At 35.8% G+C, this 12,130-nt stretch overlaps 1 protein-coding gene across 15 annotated transcripts in view; it reads left to right on the plus strand.

Moving 5' to 3' along the window:
- Positions 1–12,130, plus strand: part of CNTNAP4 (contactin associated protein family member 4) — a 283,357-nt gene that overhangs the window by 246,616 nt on the left and 24,611 nt on the right. For 14 of the 15 annotated variants that reach the window (NR_136216.2, NR_136210.2, NR_136213.2 and 11 more), the window contains one exon: positions 11,529–11,768. The exons of the other annotated variant lie outside the window; for it this stretch is intronic. Coding sequence is in view for 11 of the 14 variants with exons in the window: in NM_001322189.2 (NP_001309118.1) it covers positions 11,529–11,768 (240 nt within the window). In the remaining 3 variants the exon portion in view is untranslated. The remainder of the gene's footprint in view (positions 1–11,528; positions 11,769–12,130) is intronic. 15 annotated transcript variants of the gene reach the window in all.

Below are 12,130 nucleotides of genomic sequence, written 5' to 3' on the forward strand. Positions count from 1 at the left end.
ATTTCTTAAGAGTCTGATCTTATTAACCCTCTCTCACTGGAAAGGATGAAGCATATTTTTAACATATTTGAGGAAGACATTTTTGGGATTTCCAATATATTTGTGTAATTACTGTTTTGATAATTTATTATTTCCTTTACTCAAATATTTAATGAATAGCTTCTATGAGTAAGGCACTATAATAGACAATCTAATCATGATCTTGTGACCACTTGATTGACTTACTTAAGGGTATGAAAATAATAAAGAATGTATGAGAAGAAATATATAACTTTTAATAACACGCTAGAAGCTCAGTCAGGAAATTGACAAAGCTATTTCTTGAATTACAAAAAAATGAGAGATGGCCACAACAAAAGGTATGGCAATTTAAAATCTGTCAGTAGCTTGGAAATAGCCTTACTATTCTTGGAAATTGAGAGGCTGAAATAGTCCTCAAATTTTTCAGTGAAATATGCTGCAGTTTGCCTGTGGATGACCTTTCATTCTTGGTATGAATTTCAGCTTCATGAGATGGAGTGACTGTGTGTTGTGCCGTGTAGGAATCTTGGCCTTAACTTGATTTCAGACAGAAATGAAGCACTAGTATGTCATCAGAAAACTGCTTTAAAACAGACTTGAGTCTTTTAACATCGATCATGTGATACAATTTTAATAAGGATCTGAAAGATTTTGTCTTCATGGAGGCAATTGGTTAGGCCTTTGACCTCACTGTATGTGTTGAAATGTAAGGATGGGTGTTATTCCAATGTTGTATAAAAAATAACTGTTGATTATATTTAAGTCAAGTCACTGAAAATAAAAAAGATGAGGCAACATAAAGATTTGTGAAAAAAGGTGACATATACTGTTAATAAAAATCTGTTTATGCATTTTCCTCCTTCCTGCTCACAGATAACTGTGAGCAAGCTGACATGATTTAGTGTGGTGATACTAAGGGAAGGGCTCATAAAAAAGAAAAAAAAAACACTTGTAGTCTTGGGTAGAGAAAATTACTGGCTGTCAAAACACCACATGAGGGGCTTGGGTTTATCTTCACCTCCACCAGAGTGAACTAGTCTGTTAGGAAAGGGCTTCAATCAAGCTGATAAAACAGTGCTTGCAAGACAAAATATTCATTTATCAATTTACAACATTACTATCACACAAATCAGAATTTAAGAAAAATTGTAACTGGAGATATTTTTTTTTTCCCTGTAGGCAGACTCAGTGAAAGACACATTATAATTGAAAAGTTTATACTGAATTAGAGTATGGTGAGTGAAAAACTAATTTAAAAAATCAGTAGTAATTAGAGCTAATTTAATAAAACACCTACTAGGACCAAAGAGTTCTGTGTCTTCCTGAGAGTATATTTCAGTGGAAGAGAAGAGACAAGCAATTAAAAAAATCTGTCTATCCATCTATCTAGAAAAAAATCTATATAGAGAGAGAAAAAATGTATATAATATAGAGAAAAAATATATATATAACTATATATAGTTTTTATAGTTTATAGTTACATAGTTATATATTTCAGTGGAAGAGACAAGAGACAGCCAATAAAAAAGAACTATTTGTATATATAAAAAATTTTATATAACTATATATAGTTTTATAGTTTATATGTAGTTTATAACTACATATAAACTATAAAATTATATATAGTTATATAATTTATATATAAACATATTATAAACTAATATATATAAACTATTATATACAATATATATAAACTATATATTGTATATAATATAGCTTATATATAAACAGTATAAGCTATATAGTTAAACTAGTTAAACTAGTTTATAGTTAAGCTAAACTATATAGTTTATATATAACTATATATAATTACATATATAACTATATATAAACTATGTAACTATAGTTTTTGTATATAGTTTATACATATATAAAATATATAGTTTATTTACATATAGTTCATATATGGTTATATATCATCATATGTATGTATCCGTACATGTATGCATGCATGTGTGTGCTCATATATATATACATTTTCAGGTAGTGATAAATACCATAAAGTAAAAAGGGTAGCATGGAATCAGGCAGTGATTTGTGTTGGGGACTTCTATGTCAAGTAGGGTGGTCAGTGCAGTCTTCTCTGGAGTCCTCTCTAGCGACATTAGCAGAGTCCTCCTAATTTGAGCAGAGGCCAGATGAAACAGAAGAGAAAACCCTGTGAACATCTGAAGGAAGAGAATTCCAGGCCATGGCTCAAAGTGGTGGGAATAAGCTTTAGGGATTCAAGGAACAAGGAAAAAAACAATGTGGCTGGAAAGAATCAGATTTAGGGAAAGTATGATGGGAAACAAGATTGAGGTATATATCGGACCTTGTAGGGCCATGGCGAGGACTATGGATTTTACTCTAAGGAGTCAGAGGAGTGACATAATTTTCATTTTTCAAGCTCTCTCTTACTACCCAGAAGGGTATGGATGGAGGAAATGGAGGGCAGGCAGGCTATCACAGTGGTCCCTCTGAGAGATGATGGTGCTGCAGGCTAAAGTAGACATGTTGAAATTTAGATGCACCCAACTTGCTAATGAATTGGTCATTGATGTTAGTGTTTTACCACTTATCTATGATAATATGCTTGGGGATGAAATGCTTCTTTGTAGTTCTTTGGTTTTCTCACATTATTTGCCAGTTTTTGTTTTTGTTTATTTATTTTTGAGACAGAGTCTCACTATGTCACTCAAACTGGAGTGCAGAGGTGTGCTCACTGCTAACTGCATCCTTGATCTCCTGGGCTCAAGGGATTCTCCCACCTCAGCCTCCCAAGTAGCTGGCACCACAGGTACATGCCACCACGCTTGGCTAATTTTTGTATTTTTTATAGAAACAGGGTTTTGATATGTTGCCTAGGCTGGTCTCAAACTCCTGGGCTCAAGGGCTCCACCCCCCTCAGCCTCCCAAAGTGCTGGGATTACAGGTGTGAGGCACCGCACCAGCCTAGCTTTGAATTTCACTTGGAGTTAGCTTTTCTTGTTTTCTCCCTTCATCTTAATTTATAGCAGTGATTAAAGCTGTTTCCTGGCTCCACAATCCAAATTATATACCACAAGCCATAAGCTTGCCAGGCTGCAAAGAGTCTCTGGTCCTTCTTCACAGGCCAGAGAAAATATTTAATCTTCTTCCTCTCCTTTAATGAGACACACCTGCTCTGTAATCACCTTCTCAGCAGTAAATTGGGCTTCTTTGTTTATAGATTTTGTTCCAGCACATGTCATATGTAGAAGGACCCTTCTCCCATTCCCTCGCATATTAATACCCTGAAATATGTTAGGGTTAAGTCTTGCTCTATTCTCAGAGCTGGTGACTCCGTGGGTGACTGGTAATCTCTACTTCAATCCAATATAATTGATTTTCTGGTTACAGTTTTAAAGGGTAATTTAATTCCCCTTACTTGCAAGTTCAAGAATTTAATTTGTGGTTCATCTGTCCATCTTAAAGATAATTATAGCTAATCAGCATTTTCGGTGTGCATATCGACTATCCTTTGTATCTGGATATGGGGCAAATGAATGAGGTAAACGTGATTCTGAAAAGTAAGTACAGTTTTCAGCATGACTTTATTCTTCTAATAAGAATGTTTTAAATACAGAGACTGATGGTAATAATAATAATGTTTAAACAAGTTTAGAGATTAAACATACAACAGGAGGACTATAGTTAATAAAATTGTATGGTATTTGAGATTTTTGTTAAATATAGTAGATTTGTCACAAAAAAGTAACTATGTCAGATTATAGATTTGTTCATTTGCTTTATTACAGTAACCTTTTTACTACCTCTGTGTTTCCTGTAACATCATGTTGTAAACCTCAAATATACACAATAAAATTTATCTTAAAAATGAATAAATTACATGGAAACACTGTTTTTATAATATAGGACAAGACTGAAAGACTGTTAGTGTTACTCATTCTAAGATAGATGATGTTATTTTTCCAGCATTAAGTAGTTTTGTTAAAAATGTACCTTCTTCTTGGTAAACAAATTTGGTAGAACCCTATTGTGGAATATTTCAAATAACAAAGTTATTTTAAAATATAAATATGAAATGTTAGAAATTTCAATAACATGGAAATATATTAATTTGAGATACTGTGCTTAACACTTTACCTGCAAATAAAATGTGTGGATATTTGGATATATAATTTGGATTTAAATTATATTCTCCATCTTACTAACTGGGTCTATGTTGGTAATATTTATTAGCATTAAGTTTTTTGAGATTAACATTTTTTAAAAATTTGAGATGGATCTCTCTCTCTGTCACCCAGACTGGAGTACAGTGGTGTGGTGCAATCTTGGCTCACTGCAACCTACGCCTCCCAGGCTCAGGTGATCCTCCTGCCTCAGCCTCCAGAGTAGCTGAGACTACAGGCACATGCCACCACACCAGGCTATTTTTTGTATTTTTTGTAGAGACGCAGTCTCCCTATGTGCCCAGGCTGGTCTTGAACTCCTGGGTTCAAAAGATCCACCCGCCTTGGCCTCCCAAAATGCTGGGATTACAGGTGTGAGCCACCACGCCTCACCTGCAGATTAGCATTGTTGGTAATCTCTCAGAAGTGGCTGTTGCAATGAGACCACGTGAAAGAATCCAGTGTATTTACTCCATTGCTTCTTCACCCTCTCTGCTAAAAGCCGGTCATAAAGTGTGTTCACATCTCAGAGTGAAACTGTGAGGAAAGATTAATGCTTTACTTTCTGAGAAAAATCAGTAAAAATAAATAGAAAGCACTTTTAAAAAATGTGATCCAGTTGGGCAGCAGTTATATATGACAATTGAAATAGGAATAAGGAAATGATAAATGGAGTTTCAGAGATGCAGCTAGCATTAGCCTACATCACCCGAGCAATACAGATCAGAAGGCTTTTGAGCAATCCCTGACGTTTCAAATATTAGAACAATTAACTTCAACTAATCTAAACTGTAGGATGTCATGCAAAGTAAAGGAAGAATAAAATAATGCACAAAACCCTTGTATGACTAAGTGATAAGAATTAACATCAGCGTAATGTGATAGATTAGACACAATGAGCAGCAACGCAATGAACATCTCCTCCTCTCCTCCAGATAATTCCAGCCATCACATCACATTGCTTTTTATAATAAAATGGATTCGCCTTCTCTTTGTAGCCTGTCTTTCTCCATTTTTGTTCTTAGTTGTGACATTGGGTCTTTACTATCCTTTTCATGTTCTTTCACTTTGTCCTTTGTGTGTGTGTGTGTGATTTATGCCTATCTTAAAGAGTCCTATTCAGAACTGCCTCTTATTGTCTTCTAAAAAATGTTTTAGGACCTAATGCTAATCAGTGTATTGAACACGTGCCCTTGACTTGCTAACACTGAGGACTTAGCATCCAGTCACTGCTGTTATCGTAGACTCACAAACATTGTCCAGCCACAGAAATGATGGAGAGAAAAGAATCAATCATTTTTAAAGCTGAAATGTGACAGTGGTCATTTTCTATTTTGGTTTGTAAACTCAGCATTTTCGTAGAAGCTTCTTAAATTAGCCTTGAATTGATTTTTATTCAACCAGCTCCGCAATTTTTGTTTCCAGTCTCAATTCTTTTACTGACAGGTTTTCAAACGGGGCTAAATTTATTTCAGTACTTTGTGACTCTCACCTGGAGGAGAAGTAAGGACCCCTGACATAGTCAGAAGTAACTTGCTTTGCATTTGAATTGCATGGAATCTATAAATATTTATCGACTTTTTAGAGTGAACAATTTCTAAAAACCACATGCAAAGGTTGATGTTGAACTCTAAACATATTGAAGCTCTGAGACTGTAGTGATGAATCTCAGCTGTGTGTGTGTGTGTGTGTGTGTGTGTGTAAACATGTGTGTATTTCTGTGATTTCACCTGGGAGTGAAATTTCTAGGTCACGGCATATGCATAGGCTAAGCACAGGAAATAGTGCCATATCTCTATTCACCATTGGATAGCTTCCTTTATAAAGTGGCTGTTCAGATCTGTTGCCCGTTTTCTATGAGATTGTCTTATTTTTTTTAAAAAAAACTTCATAAGAATTCTTTATATATTTTAGGTGAGTCCTTTTCATATAAATTTATTATAAGATCTTCGACCTCTCTGTGAGTTGATTGTGCTTTCATATTGTTAATAGTGTCTTTGAATGGACACAAGTTATTAATTATAATATATTCCAGATTTTTATTTTTTTAATTTCGGTTTTTTATATGCTAAAATGTAGTTATGGGAAGAGAATATCAAGCAGCCTTAGGTTTGAATTCAGTACAATAGAGGTCGCATTTCTCTTTAATATAATCAAATTGTTTATCTTAATTACGCACTTCTCCCATCCTTGAGGCATCTTTTTCATGATTAGCCTAAGACGCCCCGAGTGTACTTTTCTATATCCAGTAGGTAAATCTTAGCGATCATTGACTGAGGTCAGAATTCAGATGGGATGTCTGGGGACAAGAGAATGTGATTATTCATCAGTGAACAACAGCTGATTTCTCTAAAATAGGCCTTAGCATGGTCAAACTAGAGACTCGCTCTGGCTTCAGTGTGTGCGAAGTCTAAATAGACTCGTTCTTTCTGCTGCTACTACGACTGGGGCACGTTTTCACCCCTGACTTTGGTTCAGGGAAAAGTGACTGAATTTTCTTCCCATGACACTGTCACTTGCAACAGCTGCCTCTTTGAACCACGATAGTTCTTTGAACACAAGGAAGAATAGTCCTGTTCCTCCCCTCCTTTCCAGGACTTTGCTTAATGAAGAACATTGCGTGACAAACTTAGAGCTGGGCCTCCAGATTCCCTACCTTCTATGTTAACCAACAGCACTATTTCTGCAAGGCAGAGTTTTCCACCAGGAAGCGAACAGGGTTGACGGTCCAATGCTTGACATATAGAAGACAACTTTTTCCCTTCAATCTCCTGACTTGGTCCTGGGCCCAGCCTGCATGCCCTGTCACTATTCTGCCCCAAGTTAATTTGTGGTTGAGGCTTTGCCTGTTTTTCTTTGCCATAGTGTCAAAGTCAGGCAGTGTCCTTGTACTGTGCCAGGCAAATCTCTATAGCTTTGAATTTTAAAGAGAAGGTTGAGGATCTTGATTTCTTTATTTCTGTAAGGCCCCTGGGTGAGTGGGTGAGTTATGCAGTTGTTCCCAATTAATTCTCAATAATATTCAAGCACAGCACATGAATAATTTGCCATTAAAAATTTAAAGTGTAATCTCAAAGGTCTTTCTGCCACAAAAATAGTGGAAAATTGGCATAGGAAAGAACCAGCTTCTACTCCATGACAATAACGTCTGTCGCTTATAGTAATTTCCTGAGAATAATAAACATGAGGAAAGGGTTTGGTGCTGGGTCTCTACTCAGCACCCAGAGAAATTATTCAGATGCAGGCCCTCAATACCATTGCATAAGTGGACAGGTTCAGTTAAACTCAATAAACACGGAAAGGTTGGGCATTTGTTTCACAGGATACTCAGTGTTTGTGAAGTCCCGAAATTCATTATATCTGATATAACATGGCAGGTAAATTGATAGAAAATTAATTGGAAGACAGTTCCAAACGTAATAGCTCAGTGGAAACATCCAGAATCAATTAACCAAACTGCAACTCATTTTAATTGGACACACTCTAACCCTGAAAAGGCACTGGAATCTTTAATTAAGCTTTCAAGCCCAGTCCTATTTACATTAGCCACGTTTTTCAAATAGTTACATCTGAAAATAAAGTTACTGACTTGAAACCTAACAGTAAAGGAAAAATTCTAAATACATGTATGACACAACGGTTTGTGTCTAATTAGACATTATGTTTTCTGGTCATTTAGAGTGTGGCTTAAAACTATTTGGTTAGGTAAATAACGAAAGTACAGAATTAAGATGTCATGTTTTTAAAGTTGTGTACTGATTTTCTTCTCACTCTTACAAATATTATCTAAGCATATATTTCACATGTATATACATTTATTTTCTTCTGCTACTCACCCCACACTCTGACCTTCTTCTTTACTGTGTATTTATTTTTATTATCTTGTAGTAATCTTGTGTTTCCCCATCTAAATTTATTACTAGAGCTTTTTGTCAGCAAGATTGATTTCATATAGTTTCATACCTTCAGTGCCCAGAAAGAGCTGCTAAATAAAGCTTGGAGAGCTGAAGTGTTGTTCAATCCAAAGATGAGCTGATGCATACAAGAAAACGGATAAGTCTTCTTTTACCAGATAGTGGTGTGAAGTGCAAAGAAACTTCCTTGGAATGGAAGGCTATCTGTGGGTCTGAATCCTGCCTCTGCCTCTAACGAAATGTGTTTATTCTAGTATTTCCTCAGATGGACCTGTGGACCAATCTTTGAAATTCTCTATGCCCCTAGTTTCCCATCATCCAAAACAAACTAAACAAACACAAAAAAATCAGAACAGCTGGAAATGGACTTTAGTCAGTTGTTGGACCCCAAGTTATTTAGTTACGTTGTTACTGGCAGAATGAGATAAGCCTGTGAGTTAGGGAGACTGTGCATGTTTCAGAGCAGCAAATGTATAACAATGTGATTTAATGTTACTGTATACTGTAGACTGTATACCATGATTTAATGTGGGATAATACAAAGTAAATTAAATACACCAAGAGCACACCTTTAATTCAGAGTTCACAGAATGTGGCCCCCCTGCAAAAAGTTCCTGTGCCAAAGTGAAAACCAAGATGTGAGCTGGACCTTACCCAGGGAAGAAATATCCAACAAGGACGCCAAAAGAATCCTGGCCAAAGACTTTGAGCCCTGGGAGCTCACTGAGTTGAGTCAACAGAGTGGAAGAATAGGGAGGTGTGAAGATAAAGAAGTAGCAGCTCTGGTAAGGAAGAAAAAGAAAAATCCTGAGGATAAGGGCAGAAGAGAGACTTCAAGAACGGCAGGTCCTCAAAAAACTACAAATAGAACTACAATGTGATCCAGCAATCTCAATAATGGGCATTTATCCAAAGAAAAGAAAATCAGTGTATTGAAAAGACAGCTGCACCCCTAAGTTTATTGCAACACTATTGACAATAGCCAAGATGTGGAATCAACCCAGTTGTCCAATAACAAATGAATCGATAAAAAAAAAGTGGTGTATATATGTAATGGAATACAATTCAGGCATAAAAAAGAATAAAATCCTGTCACTCACAGCAACATGGATGGAACTGAAGGGCATTATGTTTAGTGAAATAAACCAGGAACAGAAAGTTAAACACAGCATGGTATCACTCATATAAGGAAGCTAAGGAAAGGGTGATCTCATAAGTAAAAAGTAGAACAGAGGATACTAGAAGATGGGGAGGGTACAGGGAAGGGGCACAGAGATTTGTTAAAGGATATACTATTACAGCTAGACAGGAGGAAAAAGTTCTAGTGTTGTATGCCACTGTAGAATGACTATAGTTTACAATAATATGTAGTTTCAAATAACTAGGAAGATATTGAATGTTCCCAACACTAAAAAATGATAAATGTTTGAGGTGATGGTGATGCTAACTACTCTGATCTGATCACTAATATCATGTATATCACAACATTATGTACCCCATAAATATGAACAATTATTATGTGTCTATTAATTTTTACAACAGAACAACAAAAAGGAATAAACAACTCAATTGGGCACCCATATTAAAAATCTTAAAAAAAAAATGGCAGAAGTAAATGTAAATGTAGGAGGAATTAAACAAGAAGATTTCCAGGCATTCCAAAACTCTGTGATGAAATTAACTCCATGCCTACCATGCCCACTTGTGACAATGGCAATATGTTGACACTCTCTAGATTTATAAATAGATTTATAAATAGAACAGCCAACACCCTTAAGACCTTGGCATCCTTCACTGAGGAGAAACCAAGTATGTAAATGGAAACATTTTGAATAGACATTTAAATACAGCAATTTGGATATAGTTATAGCTATGAATCTGAATTCTGAATAGTGTTAGTGTCCGTAAGTCCAGAATTCTCAGGAATTCTTAGAGGTTCCTTTTCATAGTCTTTCATTATTTGCAAAGAGATAATTAGTTTATTAGAAATGTTCATTAAATTCGGGCCTCATTCTCAGTCTCAGAGACCCAAGCATCTCTGTGGGGCAAAAGGGGTCCCCCTTTACCCTTGAAGCACTATGCCCATTTCTCCCATTTCTATGTATATTGTGGTTTAACAAATGAATGGATGGATTTCATAGTTATAACACAGAAATTATTTGTCTACCACTGTTCTTTGTGCTGGATATACAGTAGCAATTGAAGTAGCCCTTGTTGAATGAAGGCTAGGTTAAGGAGCTACCTAAATGATTTGGAAGAAACGAAGTGAACATGTTTTAGGAAAAGAGAATTTATATGTAAAGAGTACATACAAGGTCCTGGTGATGAGACACCATCATTTATCCAAAGATGGAGCTTCTTTTTAGAGGCCTCATAACCATCTAATTGCCTCTCAATAGAATTGCCAGGTTATTTAGGTTAGGGTACTCTTTTCCCGCTTCAAGTTCTGAGCATTAACTTAAGAGTATTCCTGGACACAAATTTATGTATGAATCTACCCAGGGCTTACACTTCTATCAGGGTAGTGCTTATACAATGATGGTCTAGTGATCATCTGAATTAGAATCTCCTGCAAGCTTTGTTAACTGTTGAGATTCACAACCCTATTTTTGGACCACAGAACCAGTATTTCTTGGAGCAAGCTACCGAGTCTATTTATTAGAAGCTCTCCGTGTGATTATGTGTTACCCATATTTCTTAAAGTTTGAGAAACTCTACCTTAGAATAATAGGGTCTGATTCCAACCCAACATTGTAGACCTCTTCAAGGATGACTTGATAGGTACATATGGTTATGTATTCAATAAACGTTACCGTTACATCACTTATTTCTGTATCGATCCCCTTTTGCAATTTTGTTAAGAATCTTTCCAAGCATAAAACACTGAACACTAGACTAATCTTTAGAAAAACAATCACTGGGAAATATGTCAGCCAAAAACAAATAATCTGACATTCAATTACCATCTTTTCAATGAATGGATAACAACCAAAGGACCATATCAATGCACCATCAGAAGATCTCAAGGACTCCTTCATAATTCTCACAAAGTTAAAACTGTACCAGAATCAAGATCAGGTTTAAATATGAAGGACAAACCACACTTACCCAGCAATATATACTTATTCAAATTCCCAGAAAGTAGTTTCTACATTAAAATAACGATACATGTCACTGTTATTTTCAATGAGAGTAGTGTATGACCTCTATTTTATTCCTCAATTTAAAGATCAATAAATATTTTTTAGAAAAAAAATGTAACATATTCAACTTTTAAAAAAATTGAATTAAAGTTGTATCTTTCTTGGAGTCTATATTTGACCATGAATTGTGTTTCCAAAATTATATTTGCTCATCCATTTTTTTTGCCGTTCTCTGTAAGGCCTCAGTTTTGTTTGGTCTTTAAACCCTGAATAAAACACCTAGGAACATGTTTCCATTTGCAGTATTTCCCTTTTAGGTGGAACGGCCACCAGACAGAGAGGCTTTCTGGGCTGCATTCGGTCTCTGCAGTTGAATGGGATGACCCTGGATTTGGAAGAAAGAGCCCAGGTGACTCCAGAAGTGCAGCCAGGTTGTAGGGGACATTGCAGCAGCTATGGGAAGTTATGCCGCAATGGAGGGAAATGCAGAGAAAGACCCATTGGGTTCTTTTGTGACTGCACTTTCTCTGCATACACAGGGCCATTCTGCTCAAATGGTAAGTGTGGCATGGAAGACTGTAAGAGGAAAATTTATTCAATGTGGATTAAATGTCTGGCAGTTCTTTTCTATGCAGCTATTTGAAACAAAAAAAATTCAATTTCTGAATTGCTTTGGCAAAGTATCTGTTGAATGTAAAGAATGAGTACAAGATCCTGGTGATGAGACAGCATCATATATTCAAAGATGGAGCGCATCATATTTCATTACTTAAATATTTGACTCATTTATGAAAAACTAGTGTTTGTTGATGGTAAATCCATTAATAGTCACCTTTATGTATTATAAAGTGTTAGTTGCTCAATCTGCTTTTTTCTACCTAGTGTTGATGCTCTTAAATAATATGGCTGTCAGCAACCT

The sequence above is a fragment of the Homo sapiens genome, chromosome 16, assembly GCF_000001405.40.
Source record: "Homo sapiens chromosome 16, GRCh38.p14 Primary Assembly".
Taxonomy (NCBI): Eukaryota; Metazoa; Chordata; class Mammalia; order Primates; family Hominidae; genus Homo; species Homo sapiens.